This window comes from Homo sapiens, chromosome 15 (genome assembly GCF_000001405.40).
Source record: "Homo sapiens chromosome 15, GRCh38.p14 Primary Assembly".
Lineage (NCBI taxonomy): Eukaryota > Metazoa > Chordata > Mammalia > Primates > Hominidae > Homo > Homo sapiens.
In genome coordinates, this window is record NC_000015.10 from 51,736,939 (window position 1) to 51,754,465 (window position 17,527).

At 43.0% G+C, this 17,527-nt stretch overlaps 2 protein-coding genes across 5 annotated transcripts in view, besides 7 other annotated features; one reads left to right on the top strand and one right to left on the bottom strand.

The window, feature by feature from the left end:
• The window catches only part of LYSMD2 (LysM domain containing 2), a 28,441-nt gene extending 13,928 nt beyond the window's left edge, over positions 1 to 14,513 (bottom strand). Inside the window, exon 1 of one of the 3 annotated variants that reach the window (NM_001143917.2) lies at positions 14,333 to 14,513. Coding sequence is in view for 1 of the 3 variants with exons in the window: in NM_153374.3 (NP_699205.1) it covers positions 412 to 684 (273 nt within the window). In the remaining 2 variants the exon portion in view is untranslated. Of the gene's footprint in view, position 1; positions 125 to 411; positions 718 to 14,332 lie in introns of those variants that run through there. The other 2 variants (NM_153374.3, NM_001363969.2) reach the window with 2 other exon arrangements.
• Positions 166 to 375: a silencer, noted in NCBI's record as "silent region_6435". NCBI's record gives its function as "represses an Ori minimal core promoter by ATAC-STARR-seq in GM12878 lymphoblastoid cells {active_cell/tissue: GM12878}" and the evidence as "EXISTENCE:reporter gene assay evidence [ECO:0000049][PMID:35858748]".
• Positions 446 to 585: a silencer, noted in NCBI's record as "silent region_6436". NCBI's record gives its function as "represses an Ori minimal core promoter by ATAC-STARR-seq in GM12878 lymphoblastoid cells {active_cell/tissue: GM12878}" and the evidence as "EXISTENCE:reporter gene assay evidence [ECO:0000049][PMID:35858748]".
• Positions 596 to 1,035: a silencer, noted in NCBI's record as "silent region_6437". NCBI's record gives its function as "represses an Ori minimal core promoter by ATAC-STARR-seq in GM12878 lymphoblastoid cells {active_cell/tissue: GM12878}" and the evidence as "EXISTENCE:reporter gene assay evidence [ECO:0000049][PMID:35858748]".
• Positions 14,213 to 14,282: an enhancer, noted in NCBI's record as "active region_9407". NCBI's record gives its function as "activates an Ori minimal core promoter by ATAC-STARR-seq in GM12878 lymphoblastoid cells {active_cell/tissue: GM12878}" and the evidence as "EXISTENCE:reporter gene assay evidence [ECO:0000049][PMID:35858748]".
• Positions 14,393 to 14,822: a silencer, noted in NCBI's record as "silent region_6438". NCBI's record gives its function as "represses an Ori minimal core promoter by ATAC-STARR-seq in GM12878 lymphoblastoid cells {active_cell/tissue: GM12878}" and the evidence as "EXISTENCE:reporter gene assay evidence [ECO:0000049][PMID:35858748]".
• Positions 14,659 to 17,527, top strand: part of TMOD2 (tropomodulin 2) — a 64,767-nt gene continuing 61,898 nt past the window's right edge. For both annotated transcript variants that reach the window (NM_014548.4, NM_001142885.2), the window contains exon 1: positions 14,659 to 14,774. The gene's annotated coding sequence lies outside the window, so the exon portion shown is untranslated. The remainder of the gene's footprint in view (positions 14,775 to 17,527) is intronic.
• Positions 14,873 to 14,982: a silencer, noted in NCBI's record as "silent region_6439". NCBI's record gives its function as "represses an Ori minimal core promoter by ATAC-STARR-seq in GM12878 lymphoblastoid cells {active_cell/tissue: GM12878}" and the evidence as "EXISTENCE:reporter gene assay evidence [ECO:0000049][PMID:35858748]".
• Positions 15,013 to 15,072: a silencer, noted in NCBI's record as "silent region_6440". NCBI's record gives its function as "represses an Ori minimal core promoter by ATAC-STARR-seq in GM12878 lymphoblastoid cells {active_cell/tissue: GM12878}" and the evidence as "EXISTENCE:reporter gene assay evidence [ECO:0000049][PMID:35858748]".

Here is a 17,527-nt window from a genome sequence, read left to right on the forward strand (position 1 = left end):
CCTCAGTTGGGCTTTGCGTAAATATAGAGTAGTGTGATGGGGCCTGCAAATTGGGTGAAGGTGGTTCACGGGGATGCCAAAGCCCTAGTCCTCTTCGGCCTCCCTCACGCGACAGATCTAGTCTGAGCCTGGGCGGGGCACCGGGAACTCGATGCAGCTACCTAGGGAGGGAGCCCTGGCGGTCCGCCCCTCCCGCTGCAGGACCAGCTTTGGCGACCACTGCGGTGGCCAGCAGCGCGCGCTGAGCGAGCCCTGGGAGCCGAGCCGCCCGGGGACGCACGGCCGTCCCTGCGACTCCCCATCCCCCAAACCCCCACCCGCAGTCCCACCCCCACCCCCACCGCACCCCGAGCCGCACCGCCTCCTGCGCGGTAGCTGCCAGCCCGGGCCGCGGCGGCGCGCCCTGCTCACCGTGACACCGTACTTGAGCGCGATGCCCTGCAGCGTGTCGCCCGCGCGGACCCGGTGCTCCACATGGCGCTCGATGACGCCGGCGCCCAGCGGCGCCCGCACGCTGGCGGTGCTGCCGTACGAGCGGGTCTTGGTGCGGGCCAGGCTCAGCGACAGCTCGGCCTCCTCGGACTCGGAGCCGGAGCGCGAGCGCGGCGGCGGCGAGGGGGCCGAGGGCCGCGGCGCGCGGGGGCCGCCTTCCCGCAGGGACAGTGCGGGCGAGGAATCCGCCATGGGTCCTGCCGAGGCCGCCGGGTCGGGGAGCTTGCCAAGGGGGCGGCGCCTCCTCCTCCTCCGCCGCCGCCGCCGCCTCTTCCTCTTCACAGGGGCTGCAGCAGGCCGTTCCGCGGGGGCGGCGGACGGGAAGCCGAGGCGGGGAGCCGCAGGCCGGGCATGGCGGGCGCCTCCTCCTCTGCGTCCTGCCTGCCCCGGGCGCCCGCGGCACACGCACCTGCAAGGTTAAGAGCGAAAGCAGCTCCCGCCGCGGCCTGCCGGTACCGGGAAGACCCTGCAGAGCGAGGGAGCCGGGGAGCGCTGAAGCCCGCGGCCGTTGGGGCTAAGAGAGGGCTATCTGCAGGCGTCCTAGGCCCCAGGTGGACCCCTGCTCCATTGGCGATAGAGCCCTGGCAGAACCCTGCCCTGGCCACGGCGAAAAAAAAAAAAAGCGTTGCTCTGCCTCCTTTATTGATTCCCCAGCAGGAGCCAGCTTGCACAGACCTTCCAGCTCTGCCAATGCCAAGGGTACTTCCCTCCCCCCACCCCAGTGACCTCAAAGTCCACGTCACAGTAAAACTTAAGATCATCAAACACACACAGACAGCTTCTCCAGGTCCATCTCAACAGCCTCAGAGTCCAGTCCTTTCAACATTGCACTAGGAGGGATAGTGCTTCTAAGGCCTAATGGGTGGCCTCAAAATAACCCCCCTAGTTGTTCGGGTTTCACACTTTGTACACTAGTGCCAATTTAAGTCCTGGCTGCCTCGAAAGGCTGGCCACATACAATTCATTCTCCAGGCTCAGTAGTTGGAATTTACTGTCTGCATTCATCTTCTCTTCGTCAGTTTATTCTTTGACACCCTGAAATCGCATCTCCCTGCCCCGTATTGCTATTAATATTATAACCACCAAAGACCTCTTATCTGTACTCTTCATTTGAACACCGTCTACTCTTGAACACCCTTTCAACACACTGTATTATACACAGAGTGGGTACACATTTACTAGCATCTAGTGCCTGGTTTCTGTGTTATTTTGGACAGCTTTCCAAGAAGAGGTACCTTGTAGGAAGGTCCGGAGCCTGGGGGTTTGATTCGTTGGCTGAAGTTTTGGTATGTTGCTGTGCTGGACAGAGGCAAAGCTAATATTGCTCAGGAGAGAAAGGATGGGAGAGGAGCAAGCTTCCACAACACCATCCCACTCAAAACTCCTACAATGGCTCTCTGGGGACAACAGCATTACTAAAAACCTACATTGGCATTCAAGCTATTATTTCTATTTTTATTATTCATGGTCTGACCATACCCCATCTATAACTCATTCTGTATACTCTACATATTCCTGCCAAACAGAGCCTCTGAAACTGGCCTCCTTGTTCCTACTTTCATACCTTGCATGTTATTCCCTCCAATGGTAACACTCTTCCAGTACCCTCTATTACATTGTTTAAATCTTTAAGGTCTGTCTCAAATGATACATCCTCCATGAGATTTTTCCTAATTCTTCCCAATGGTCCCTTTTTCCCACCTGCCCAACTGTTACTGTTTCTTCTTTGAACTCCAAGAGGTTTGTATTAATACCTCTGGTTTAGTATTTAACTCTCTGTGTTTTGTGTTTGTACTTGCATGTACATGCATGAGCTTGTCTTATCTCCTCCAACAAATACGTGCTCCTGGGAGGCATAACTGGGTCTTACTCATCTTTTTAGCTCCAGCAGTGCCTAGCTCAGTGGAATAAAAAAAAAAATAAATACATAATTACAAGTGGTTGAATTGAGGTGTAGTAAAAAGATCCTGAATGCTAATTTAGATTGTTTAGCATAAGTCTGCCATGCATAAACTTTTGGGTGGTATCCAGTGTGTCCATTTCAGGACCCAAGAGAGAGGCAGAATTTGAGTCTCAGTATATAGACAAGATCTGGTAATGTTTCAAGAAAGAAGTCTCTTCCTTCAAAGAGTTTACAATCTAGGAATGAGACAGCATATAATGTTTTCCACTAAGAAAAAGTTTACTGCATGGCTGGAAGTTTTAATCTGAAGATTAAAGAACTGAGCCAGGCGCAGTGGCCCATTCCAGCACTTTGGGAGTCTAAGGAAGGAGGATAGCTTGAGCCCAGGAGTTCAAGACCAGCCTGGGCAACATAGTGAGACCCATCTCTACAAAAAATACAAAACTTAATCGAGCATGTGGCCTACTCCTGTAGTTCCAGCTACTTGGGAAAGTGAGGTGGGAGGATTGCTTAAGCCCAGTAGGTGATCTCTGCAGTAAGCAGAGATCATGCCACTGCACTCCAGCCTCAGCAACACAGTGAGACCCTGGGGTTTTTTGTTTTGGTTTGGCTTTGGGGTTTTCTTTGTTTGTTTGTTTGTTTTGAGATAGAGTCTTGCTCTGTTGCCTAGGTTGGAGTGCAGTGGTGTGATCTCCGTTCACTGCAAGCTCCGCCTCCCAGGTTCAAGCAGTTTTCCTGCCTCAGCCTCCTGAGTAGCTGGGACTACAGCATGTGCCACTATGCCCGCCTAATTTTTTGTATTTTTAGTAGAGGTGGGGTTTCATCATGTTGGCCAGGCTTCTCTCAAACTTCTGACCTCAAGTGATCCATCAGCCTCAGCCTTCCAAAGTGCTGGGATTACAGGCCTGAGCCACCACGCCTGGCCAGGCCTGTTTTTTTGTTTTTTTGTTTTTAAAAAAAAGAACTGAGTTACATGAGGTGTTATTAGATGTTCATTGTTTTCCTTCTTAAACCAGAACTTCAAAATTGTTTTAATATGTATCTACCTACAACATAGAAGTTCATCACAATTAAAGATGAAACATTAAAAGCATTTCCTTTGAAGGGAATGGTAAGAAAAGGAAGCCTATTACTGCCTCTATTTAACATTGTTTTGAAGGTCTTTGCCAAGGCAATTTTAAAAAGAAGAAAAGGAAATGAAGATTGAAAAGAAATCAGCTGTTATTTACAGATAGTAGGCAATACTAAAATGTTTATAGGCAACACATAATGAATACATTGGAACTGTTCAAACAATTGAGAGTTCACCAAAGTTAAAAGATACAAGCTCAATATACAAACATCAATTGCATCACTCAATCATATAAGTGTGAAAAAGATGACATTCCACATACCACCAAAAATACCTAGGAATAAATTTAACAAGAGAAAATTGTTCCTGGTGGCGTAGGAGCAGAAAAAAAAATTTAAGGTAATAAATAAAAAGATAAAAAATAAAAGAAAGAAAGAAAAGTGTGTATTGTATGGAAAATATAAAACTTTTTTGAAGTACATAAAAGAAATATAAATAAAAGCAGAGATATACCATGTTTGTGAATGGGAAATGCAAAATAATGAAAATATCATTTTCTTTACAAACTAATGTTAAATTCATTAAAATTGCAAACAAAATCTCTATAGCATTCTTCAAAGGATATGACAGAGTTATGCTGACATTCATATGAAAGATAAAGCACTAACAAGGGCCAAGGCATTCCTGAGGAAGAATTAGGAAGGAGGCTTACCCTTATAGCCATGAAGACTTAAAACTATGAGAACTAAAGCAATGTGGGACTGGTACTGAGGCAGGAAAACATAACAAAGGGACAAGGAAGTAAGCCAGCAAACAGGTTCACATATATTGGATAACTTAATCTATAGCAGACGTAAAGTTACATATTCAATAAATGTTGCTGGAACAGTTAGTTTTCTGTGTGAGAAAAGATGAAATTAGATCCCTGTCTTATACTACACATCAAAATCAATTATAGATTGATTAAAGACATAATTGGGAAAAGCAAACATTAATGCTTTTGCAACAATATTTTTATAACCTTGGGATAGCAAAGGGTTTTTTAAACAAGATACCAAAATCATATAATTCACACATCACATAATTCATCCATTTAAAGTGTATAATTCAATGCTTTTCTGCATATTTATATTACATTACTAATTTCTTGAATTGTGACAAATGTACATAACATAAAATTCACCATTTTAACTATTTTTAAGCTTACAATTCAGTAACATTAAATATATTCACAGCCCGGGTGGTGGTTCTCGCCTGTTATTCCAGCACTTTGGAAGGCCAACGCAGGTGGATCGCTTAAGGCCAGGAGTTTAAGACCAGCCTGGCCAACATGGCGAAACCCCATTTCTACTAAAACTACAAAAATTAGCCTGGTGTGGTGGCAGGTGCCTGTAATCCCAGCCACTTGGGAGGCTGAGGCAGAAGAATCGCTTGAACCTGGGAGGCGGAGGTTACAGTGACCCGAGATAGCAACACTGCACTCCAGCCTGGGCAACAGAAGGAGACTCTATCTCACAAAAATAATAATTAAATATATATATAATGTATATATAAATAATATATATATATTCACAATGTTATGCAACTATCACCACTATCTATTTCCGAAAGTTTGTCATCACTCCAAAAAGAAATTTTTTTTTTTTTGAGACGGAGTCTCGCTCTGTCGCCCTGGCTGGAGTGCAATGGCACAATCTCCACTCACTGCAACCTCCACTTCCTGGGTTCAATCGATTTTCATGCCTCAGCCTCCCAAGTAGCTGCACCAAGATTACAGGCCTGCACCGCCATGCCCAGCTGATTTTTGTATTTTTAGTAGAGATGGGGTTTCGCCATGTTGGCCAGGCTGGTCTTGAACTCCTGACGTCAGGTGATCTACCCACCTCGGCCTCCCAAAGTGCTGGGATTCAAAAATAAATTTTTAACCATTGAGCAATAACCACATTCCAGCCTTCCTCAGTCCCTGATCACTTCTAATCTACTTTCGGTCATATTAATTTGACTCTTCTAGATAGTTCATAAGTGGAAGCATACAATATTTTTCCTTTTGTGTCTGGCTTATTTTACTTAACATAATGTTTTCAAGTTTCATCCATGTTGTAACATGTATCATGTTGAGTTTGGGGGAGCTCTTTGTATATTTTGAATGTAAGTCCTTTAGCAGATACATAGTTTTTAAATAATTGTTTCCCAGTCTGTGGCTTGCCTTTTAAATTTTTTAACAGGGTCTTTCTCAGAGCAGGAGTTTTTAACTTCAATAAAGGCCAACTTGCTGGGTGCAGTGGCTCATGCATGTAATACCAGCACTTTAAGAGGCTGAGGCAGGAGAATCCCTTGAGGTCAGGAGTTTGAGACCAGCCTGGCCAAAATAGTCATATTTTTTGGTCTCTAAAAAAAATAGAAAGACGTAGCCAGTTGTGGTGGCACATGCCTGTAGTCTCAACTACTCACAAGGCAGAGATGGGAAGATTACTTGAGACCAGGAGTTCGAGGCTGCAGTGAGCCATGATCGCCCCACTGCAGTCCAGCCGGGGGGACACAGTGAGACTCTGACTCAAAAATACATACATGCATACATACATACATATGTCTAACTTGAGGACTTCTATTTTGTCTTTCATGGATCATACTTTGGTGTTGTGTATAAAGGTACAACCTAGATATTCTATGTTATTTTCTGGAAGTTTTATAGTTTTGTGTTTTTGTGTTTTACATTTACTTCTGTGATCAATGGATTTCCCCCTCCTTTTTTTGAGATGGGGGTCTCACTATATTGCCCAGTCTGGTCTCAAATTCCTGGAGTCAAACCATCTTCCCACCTCAGTCTTTTGAGTAGCTGGGAGTACAAGCAAGCACCACTGCACCCAGTGGGCTGATTCATCTTGAGTTAATTTTTGTGAACAGTATAAGGTCTGTGTTTAGATTCATTGTTTTACATGTGGATGTCTAGTTATTTCAGCAACATTTGCTGAAAAGACTATTTTTTCTCTATTAAGTTGTCTCTGCTCCTTTGTCAAGAATCAGCTAACTATATTTGTGTGGGTCTATTTCTGGACATTCTATACTGTTCCATTGATCTATTTGTCTATTGTTTCAAGAATACTACAGTGTCTTTATTACTGTAGCTTTATAGTAAGTCTTAAAGTTGGGTAAGTCCTCTGACTTTGTTCTTCTTCAGTATTGCATTGGCATTTCTAAGCCATTTACCTTTCCATACAAACTTTGGAATCAATTTGTCAATATCCACAAAGTAACTTGTGATTTTGACTGGGATTGCATTGAATCAATAGATCAAATTGTGAAGAAGTGACATCCTAGCAATATTGAGCCTTCCTATCTGTGAACATGGAATACCTCCCCATTTATTCATATCTTCTTTTATTTCTCTCATCAGTTTTGTTGTTTTCTTCACATAGATATTGTATGTATACCTAAGTATTTATTTGTTTCTGTCTGTCTCCTTTTTTCTTTTTTGGTGCTAATGTAAGTGACATTGTGCTTTTAATTTCAAATTCCAATTACAGGAAAGCAGTAGTTTTTTCTGTAATAATCTTGTATCCTACAATCTTGTTATAATCATTTCTTTGTTCCAGAGTTTGGATTTTTTTGTTTTAGGAGGGTTTTGAAGTTTTTTGGACAATTCTTTGGGATTTTCTACATAGATAATCATGTTATCTATGAATAAAGACAGTTTTATTTCTTCCTTCTCAATCCGTATATCCCTTTTCCCCCTTATTGTCTTATTGCATCTGCTAGGACTTCCAATACAATGTTGAATAGAGGGTGGCAGGGGATACCCTTACCTTGTTTCCAATCTTGGGGGAAAAGCATCTAGCTTCTCACCATTAAATATAATGTTGACTGTAGAGTTTTTCATAGATGTTCTTTATCAAATTGAGGAAGTACCCCTCTGTTCTCAGTTTGCTGAGGACTTTTTAGTATGAATGGATGTTGAACTATGTCAAAAGTTTTTTCTGCATCTATTGATATAATCATATGACTTTTTTCCTCTTTAGCCTGTTGATGTGATAGATTATATTAATTAATTTTTTTGAATGTTGAACCAGCCTTGTTTACCTGGAATTAATCCTACTTGGTTGTGGTGTATAATTCTTTTTATAAAATGTTGGATTCAATTTTTTAATATTTTGTTGAGGACTTTTACATGTGTATTCATGAGAGATATTGGCCTATAATTTTCTTTTCTTGTAATATTTTTGTCTAGTTTTGATATTGGAGCAAAACTGGCATTATAGAATTAGTTAAGAAGTGTTTCCTCTGCTTCTGTTTTCTGAAAGAGGTTGTGGAGAATTAGTATCATTCTTCCTTAAATGTTTGGTAGAATTCACCAGCTAAACCATCTGAGTTATGATAAATGAAACAGAGACTAGAAAAACAATCAAGGAAGTCAACAAATCCAAAAGTGTATTCTTTGAAAAGATCGACAAAATTGACAAACCTTTACCTAGTCTGACCAAGAAAAAAAAGAGAAGATTCAAATTCTAAAATCAGAAATAAAAAAGGGGATATTACTACTGATCTTAGAGAAATAAAAAGAATAATAAAGAATGTTATGAACAACTGTGTGACAACAAATTAGATAACTTAAATAAAGTGAATGAATTCCTAGAAAGACATGAACTAACAAAACTGACTCAAGAAGAAATACACAATCTGAATAGACATAGGACAAGCAAACACTGAATTTGTCATTTTTAAACCTCCAACAAAGAAAAGCCAAGACCTAGATAGCTTCATTGGTGATTTATACCAAACATTTAAAGAAAAACTAATATTAATCTTTTGCAAACACTTCCAAAAAAATAGAACACTTTCTAACTCATTTTATAGTGCCAGTATTACCTTAGTACCAAAACCAAAGACATAACAAGAAAAAAAAACTACAGACTAATATTTCTTATGAATGTAGACACAAAAATTCTCAACAAAATACTAGCAAGCTAAACCTTGCAACATGTAGAAAGATTATATACCATGACCAACTGGGATTTATCCCAGGAATTAATGGTAAATTTAACACCTGAAAATCAATGTATTACAATATATTAACAGAATAAAGGGAAAAACAACCCACAGGACCCTCTCAACAGACACAGAAAAAGTCTTTGATGAAATCCAGCACCCTTTTGTTATAAGAACATTCAACAAAGTGGGAATAAACAGGAACTCCCTCAAACTAGCAAGGGATGTTTACCAGTGAACACCATCCAGAAAGTTAAAAACACACACCACACACACACACACACAATGGGAGAAAACATTTGCAAATCGCATATCTAATAAGGCACTTGTGTCTAGAACATATAAAGAACTTTTATAAATCAATAGCAATAAAACAAATAGTCCAACTGAAAAATAAAGTAGGCAAAGGATTTGAATAGACATTTCTCCAAAGAAGATATAAAATGGCAAGTAAGCACATGAAAAAATGTTCAACATCATTAGTCATTAGGGAAATCATTAAAATCACAATGAGATACCACTGCATATTAACTAGGATGGCTATAATTTTAAAAAGACATTAACGAGTGTTAGCAAGGATGTGGAGAAATTGGAATTTTCACCCATTGCTGGTTAGAATGTAAAATGGTGCAGATACTTTGGAAAACAGTTTGGTGGTCCCTCAATATGCTTCATATAAAGTTACCATATGACACAGTAATTGCACTCCTAGATATATACCCAAGAGAAATAAAAATATATCTGTACAAAAATTTGTATATGAGTGTGCATAGCAACATTATTCATAACAGCAAAACTGTGGAAGCAGTCTAAATGTCCATCCACTGATGAACAGATAAACAAAATGTGGTCTATCCATGCAATGAATTCTATTTGGCCATAAAAAAGAATAAAGTACTAATGTGTATTACAACATGGATGAACCCTAAAAATATTATAATTAGGGAAAGAAGCCAGTCATAAAAGACAACATGTTGTATGATTCCATTTACGTGAAATATCCAGAATAAGCAAATCTAGAGAAGACAAAAAATAAATTTGTGATTGCCAGAGTCTGGGTGTGTAGGGGGAATGAGGAATGAGTGCTAACATGTCTGTGGTTTCTTCTGAAGTTTTGAAAACGTTCTAAAGTTATAATAGATTGGGAGATAGTTACACAACTCTGTGAATATACTAAAAACCATTGAACTGTGCATTTTAAAAAGGTGAATTTATGATATGTGAAATATGTCTTAACAAAACTGTATTTAGAGAGAGAGAAAGAGAGAGAATGGTTTAATAAAGCTCCAACACTCAGCTTCAACCATTATCAACTCATGGCCAATCATTTCATCTATACCCCACCCCACCACTCTACCCCGTCTCCCACACTCGATAATTTTTAAAGTAAATTCCTGATATTATTTCTTCTGTAAATAATCAGTTTATCGCTCCAAAAAGTAAGGACTCTTCAAAAAAATAATCATGATACTGTTGTCACATCAAAAAATTTTTTAAAATAACACCTTAGTCCAGGCATGGTGGCTCATGCCCGTAATCCCAACACTTCGAGAAGCCAAGGCAGGCAGATCACTTGAGGTCAGGTGTTCGTGACCAGCCTAGCCAACATGGTGAAACCCTGTCTCTACTAAAAAAAAAAAAAAAAAAAAAAAAATACGAAAATTAGCCGGGCTTGGTGGCACACGCCTGTAGTCCCAGCTACTTGGGAGGCTTAGACATGAGAATTGCTTGAACCCGGGAGGCAGAGGTTGCAGTGAGCCGAGATCACGCCATTGCACTCCAGCCTGGGTAACAGAGTAAGACTCTGTCTCAAAACCAACAACAACAACAACAACAACAAAAACTGTAATGCCAGCACTTTGGGAGGCTGAGGCAGGCGGATCACTTGAGGTCAGGAGTTTGAGACTAGCCTGACCAACATGGAGAAACCCCATCTCTACTAAAAATACAAAATTAGCCAGGCGTGGTGGCGCATGCCTGTAATCCCAGCTACCTGGGAGGCTAAGGCAGGAGAATCGCTTGAACCCAGGGGGTGGAGGCTGTGGTGAGCCGAGATCACGCCATTGCACTCCAGCCTGGGCAACAAGAGCAAATCTCTGTCTCAAAATAATAATAATAATTTTAGAAAACAGACCTTAATATAATCAAATATTCTGTGTTCACATTTTCCCTAATTGTCTCATTAATGTGAATTTTTAACAGCTGCTTTCTCAAATTAAGATCACACATTACATTTTGTTATTTGTCTCTTGAATTTCTGTGTATCTATAAGCTTTCTCTCCTTTTATTTTTCTTGCAATTTATTTATTGAAGAATCAGTTGTTTGTCATGTAGAGCTTCCTATATTTTGGATTTTGCTGATTGCATCACTGTGGTATCATTTAACATGATCATGATTACATAGTAATTAGCTTTTAGATGTTTGCTGTCAATTATACTACACATACGATTTAATTCATAATTCATCAACATAGTCACTGCTCCTTTAGTCTTTATCATCCACCATATCCTTTGAAGCATCTTTGACACAAATTATCTCAGTTAGTCTTTCTAATAACCCCATGTGGTAAGTATTATTATCCTCAGTTTAAGAGATGAAGAAGGCCGGGCCCGGTGGCTCACGCCTGTGATCCCAGCACTTTGGGAGGCCGAGGCAGGTGGATCACAAGGTCAGGAGATCGACACCATCCTGGTCAACATGGTGAAACCCCGTCTCTACTAAAATACAAAGAATTAGGCGGGTGTAGTGGCAGCACCTGTAGTCCCAGCTACTCAGGAGGCTGAGGCAGGGGAATCGCTTGAACCCAGAGGTTGCAGTGAGCCAAGATCGCACCACTGCACTCCAGCCTGGTGACAGAACAAGACTCCGTCTCAAAAAAAAAAAAAAAAAAAAAAAAAAAGATGAAGAAAATGAGGCTTAAGGGAGGTTACAGAAACTTGGCCATAGTCATTGTGCCAGTAAATATCTGGGTTCAAACTCTCTGATGTTAAAACCCATGTTGTTATCTGTTATATGATAATATCCCATCACATTGCCTGTGGTTTGTGGTGGTTGTTTTTAATCAACTCTAGGAAGCAGTCTTTCAGTCCATCCAAAGAATGTACTTTCACATTTCATCTTTAACACTTAGGATGCTTTCAGCTTCAAGTAACAGAAAACTCCATCTCAAATTGACTCAACAATAAGGTTATTTATTATCTCATATAACAAGAAATCCAGAAGAAGGGCAGCACTGGGGCTGGTTGATGACTGACTCAACAACAATATGGCCGACCCAGATTCATCGTATCTCTTTACAATGGCCAGAACTGGGTCACATGTCCACTCCTAAACTCTTACAGGCCAGTTAAGAGGATTCTATTCCTCTTGTCTATGATAGATTTGAGAGTGTACCTCTCAGAGGCTAATAGGGTCACCTTTCCTAATGTGTAAACACCCATATAGGCTTCTATAAAGAAGAAGAGGGTGGACTGAATGTTTAATAGACAACCAACAGTGTCTACTACCTGTTCCTAATGAGGTGTGCTACATATTCCACTGTGAATAATTAAAATACTTCATTATAACTGCCACGTTGAACTTTTTTCCTTTCTGCCATTTGACAATTACAGTCAATATATCAGCTTCCTCATTTACAGGAAGAAATGGCTACACAAAATGATATGTAAGGTCCCTTCCAGCTCCAGGAGTTCTGTTTCAATTTTACATTTTCATCTTCTAAAAAGCAAGTAGAAAAGTTAAACTTACAAGATATGGTCCAGAAATGATCATGGGTTTCAACTGATAAGTCATAGGCATATTGACATCCTTTCTTCCTTAAGATAAGACATAGGCAATAGATTTAAAGAGCTAAACAGACTGGAACTGGTAATATCTTTCCATTAAGTTTTAACATTAGGTTAAATGTTCTACTTCCCTCACTCATCCTTTAACACCTTCCAGCTTCCAACACTCATCATACAGACAGAGACTGATCAGAAGTTTCTTTTCACAACTCACTTTATTTTGGTGTCAGCATCCTCCTGGAGCATGGCTCTGGGGCTGTAGGATAGCTCTTGTATCTCTGCTTCGACTGCCGAACATGACTTTAACTTAAATCATTCCCCTGTCTGCTTCCTTTCATGGCTAGTTTCTGAAGGAATACTCTATTCGTTTTATCACATGCAGCCATTTTCCTCGTGCAGAACCACGGGAAACCAAAGAGAAATACTGTACACTACTGAGCACCTTTGCTACTCTTTCTTCCAATATGAATGAAATTGCTTTATTATTTTCAGCATATGCCTACTATCAGCTTTCTCTGGGAAAACTGCTGGCTCGATCCGTAAGCAGCCCTGTTCTTATTTAACAGAAGGCTATGACTGTAACAAATGTACAACATAAAAAAGTCAAAGGCATCCTGTCGGTTACACAGGACATTCGGAATAACAAATGTACAGGAAAACTTGGGAACATGACTTAAAGTAATTTGGTCACACCCCCATTTCATTTAACTCTTTCTGGCTCAGATTTGTCATTCTGACAGGAGGCCCAAGATATAGTCCATTACCACAATTGATCATAGAAACAACACTGGTCTCTCAGTCAGCAGCCACTGCGTGCCAGTGTTCATCATGCTAGTTCCCAGAGTTTTAGAGGATTAACTTTACTTTCTGGTTCAACCCATCTGCTGGGGAAGGTATGGCCCTATTTTGCAATGTGCAAAAGGGAGACAGTGCTGGGGGTGCCCACAGTGGAAGGAGAGAAGACAGGCTTACTGAACACCCCTATGACCTTGAATAAGTCACATCACCTCTCTGTGCCTCTTATTAACTATCATTGGGGAAAAATACCTTCACTCTGCCTGTCTCACAAGGGTTCTTGTAAAAATCAAATGAGAACACAAATAGGAAAGTATTTTCATAAATGCAAACCAGTGTTATCATTTTCAGATGTGGAATTTCCTCTGCAGCACGTTTTTTTGGCCACACGATTACTGCACACCTCGTGCCAGACAGACTATAAAGCTGTTTCACCTCTTTTCACATTTTGCCTAAAATTTCATATAGAGATTACACCAGCCATGCTGCATCCATCCCTTTGGTTCATTTTCCTCCACTACATCTGTGAATGCAAATCCCACCATCATGTGAAACACTGCATAGCAGCAACTTGCAAAACTCAACGAACCTTAGACTGCCAAGATAAGTCCCATAAGCAAAGGTTATGCTCAAAATATGCTGCAAAAGTTCAAGAAGGAGAGAGATATCACATCTAATTAGAAAAGGCCTCTGGAAGTTAAATCTAGATGCCATGTATTTTCATAATGTTGGTCTTTGTCCTATGTCACCCCACTCTGCTGTCATGCTTCAGAAACTTGACTTTATTTTCTCTATCTTTGGAGCTCTCAAGAACCTGGCAGACAGAACATCTCAGGGTATATTCAGGGATGAAGTGAACGGGCTCAACGACTAACAAACCCAGTGGATTTTAACATTTACCCAGCCCAACGAGGTCCAACTATCTTTAGGTTAGCACGACATATAGGACTTTCCCGGCCCAAGAACTCCCTCGGAAACCCCAAGGAAGGAACTTTCACTGAGTATGCACTAAGTGCCAGATCCTAAGTGCTATGGGTCGCTTAATCCTCACAACACTTTTTCAAGCTTGAAGCCTGTTTTACAGATGAGGACGCGAAGGCTCAGACAGGCTAAGTTGTCCGGTCTCACCTCAGTGAAGCCGCCACTGCGCTTGGGCTCTCCAGCCCCTCACGCCATCACCCTAGAGCCTTGCTAACTTCCACCTCGCTTACCTCCTTCCCTCCCTAGGCTGCCAACCCAACTACTCTCTCCTCCCACGCCCACGCCCAGCCAGGAAAACCTGGGGCGGGCGGGGTCTGTACCTGAGACCGCTCTCAACGCGGCTTCCGTGTCAGGATGCTCGCTCACAGGAATGCTCATCACAGGCTTGAAAGCCTTTGCCATCCACGCTCTCCGGAGCCCCGAGCGTCTCCAAAGAGCCTGCCCAGGCTTCTCCCCGACCCAGGTGCTTCCTCCCCTGCAGAGCTGTGGCGGGGTTCAGACCCCGATTCCGGGAGAGGACACCTGTCGGGGAAGGGCGGGGCTGGGGGACTGCGGGGCCGCGGCGAGGCTCAGCCGGGAACTACGCTTCCCAGCCTGCTCCGCTGCAGCCGCGCGCCCCGGCGCCGCGCCCGGCCGGGAGCCGCCTGTTGATCGCCGCGCTCGCCCCGGCCACGGCGCCGCCCCTGTTCTCCCGGCCCCGCTCCACCGGGGCTGACGGACTGACGGCCAGCACAGCCGGCTCCGGGATGAGCGCACGGACGGGTGAGCGCCCCGGGGGGCGGGTGGGGCCTGTTCTGGACAGCCGGTGTCTGCAGCCCCCGGGCCCGCAGCGCGGTGGCCGCCGTGCCCTCCCTGCCCGCGGGAGGATGCTCCGCGACATGGGCGGTCGGCCGGGCGGGCGTGCAGAGCCGGGCCGCCTCTCGCCTCTCGCCTCCCGGCCCGGTCGGCTGCGCCGGGAGACCAGGCGCTGCGCCCGGGCGGGAGGCGCCCGCCGGGGTGTGAGTCCCGCGCCCCGCACTGCGGTGCCGCAGCCTCTGCAGCCCGCTGGGCCGCAGCGGGGAGGGCGCGGTCTCCTGTCCTCCCGGGCTGCGGGGCTGTGTTCTTCCACTCCGGGCTTTGTTCCCCCACTTTTCCCCTTCCTGTGCATGTTTGGTGAGCTCCTGGAGCGGTATGCATCTCCCTGCCTCGTTCAGCAGGCGATGGGGAGGGGTGGACTGGCCGGCGTCTTTCCTGAGATCGCTGGAGCTGTCACTCGCAGGGCGTTTCAGCCTCCCAGTAAGCGGCCTCGTGCGGATCCTCGAGAACCTTATTATTATTGTTATTACTTTTCTGGTTAAAGTAATTGTAGTATGTGCTCCCTTGAGGCTTCCTAAATGTTCCCTGTTGACCTGCGGAAATGAAGGTGGATTTTTAAAACAGTAATAAAAGGCTTCTAATGGGAATTTTTAGAGTATTCAGAGGTAGGAAGGTGATGCCGTCACAATGCAAATTAGCAGTGAAGGAGGCCGTGCTTACTGCAGCTTCGTCTGTGCCCATTACATATCTGAATCACGAGGCATTTAGGACGGGAATGAAAAGAAGATCGGGGGAGGTGTTTTAAAAACCAGGTTCTCCTCTTAGCTTGACCATTCAGGAGCTGAGGGACCTGGGCAAGTCCCTCCACCTCTCTGGGCCTCTGCATGTAAAGGGGCGTTTGGGCTAAATGATTTGTAAACCTCTGTTCTTCCAAGATTCTCCCCTCTCAGGGAACTGAAAAGATGAGAGTGTTTCTGTTTAACAGCACTACAAAAAGCCTAATTGTGACAACAAGCGCCTCTACCCTAGTGAGGAGGAAAGATTTTTCAGAGCTTCAGCAATCTGATTTTTTTTTAAAGATAAAACTGATTTTCTCGATCGACTCTCTTCAGTCTAACCCAATAAATACGCATTGCAATCATTTTAATTTTTGTAAGGTACTGTACATTGGTGGGCAACAAAATGATGGGGTTTGTTTTTGTCTTTAATTTGCTGAAGGTGAAGTGATGGGATCAGCAGATAAAGGATTAGTGGCTCCCTAGGGCTGGGCACGAGTGGTCAAATGTGGTCAGCATGGAGGTCGGGGAGGAAGCCCCAGCAAGAAGTAACCAGAATGTGTATACACAGAAAAGAGAAGTTGCGTACTGATGGATCATTGTTTGAAAAAGAAATATGCAATAGAAGGAATGAGAGAATCAGGAACTCGGCGCTCTGCAAACCTAACATAACAGTTGAATAAGGCAAGGACTTACCAACTGGTCCAAAACCTTTGAGTGAAAGGTGGTTGGGGAATAGGATTTTCATATTATTTCAAAGTATCTCACCACAGTTTACTCTGGGAAAATTTGTCCTTACAATGGAGAAATTAGGAGGTCACCACTGGAACCAAATGACCAAGTTTAGCAGCATCTACTGCGAGTCTCCCGTTGTGAAGCAATAAGGAGGCATAATTTCACCTCTGTAGTGTTCCTGCAAAAAGACTTGGCGATGGGGCAGAGCAAATGGGAGCAACTATTGTAGGTTAAAATACTCAAGTGATACAATAGTGAATTGGGATGTGTGAACTTTGAATCCTAGATGCAAAAAAAAAAGCTATAAAAGACAATTTGGAGATAGTTGGGGATGTTTGAATATGGATTGCATGTTAGATGATATTATGGAATTGGTGTTAATTTTCTTAGGTGCAATAATAGTTCATTCTTGTGGTTACCTAGACCAGACAATCCTTATTCTTTGGAGATGTGGATATTGGAGGTGAAGTGTCATGACATCTGCAACTTTCAGCTGTGTCAGAAAAAAAAAAAAAAGGATAGGGGTAGCAGAACAAGTTCAGGAACGTAGCAAATGTGGCAGAATGATGACGGTTGGTGAATCAAGAAGAAAACAAATGTTTATTGTACTATTCTTTTAACTTTTCTATAGATTTGAACTTTAAGAAATGGGGAAGTCAATAAAATAAATAAGCGAATAAAGAGAAAGTGTTGTAGAAGACGGGGGTGGTTCGTGACAAACAGCTGCAGTGAATCTGTGGGGAATTTCTTGGCTTCACCTTCCCAAAATTGAAATCACCTATTGGAGGTGTGAGTGGGGGGGACGGGGGGTTGGTGTTCCCATTTTTGGTTTATCTTGGCTACTCTCAATCATTTATGCTTAAGTACCCCATCCTCTAGCTTCAACTTCAAAGTATTAGTAATTCTCCATACCTAAGAAATTCTAGCCCTACCCAAGAACCATCCCGAAAGTGCTGTCCCTTTCCTCTCTGTGTCCGAGATCTGTGTCAGTGTGTAAGGAAGTTTGAGAACATAGGCAGTGGTTCATTTTATTTTGGGTTAGGGTAGTGTTGGGGGAAAAATGATTTAGCTTTGTGATAGGATAGAAGTTTTGGGGTTTCCTCTCATTCCCTTGTGTGTAAATCATATACAACCAAATGTTTTCCTTATAGACTTTAAGTGGTTCAAAGAGGTTCATAGAAGGCATGTGCAGAAGAGACTTCCTGTTAC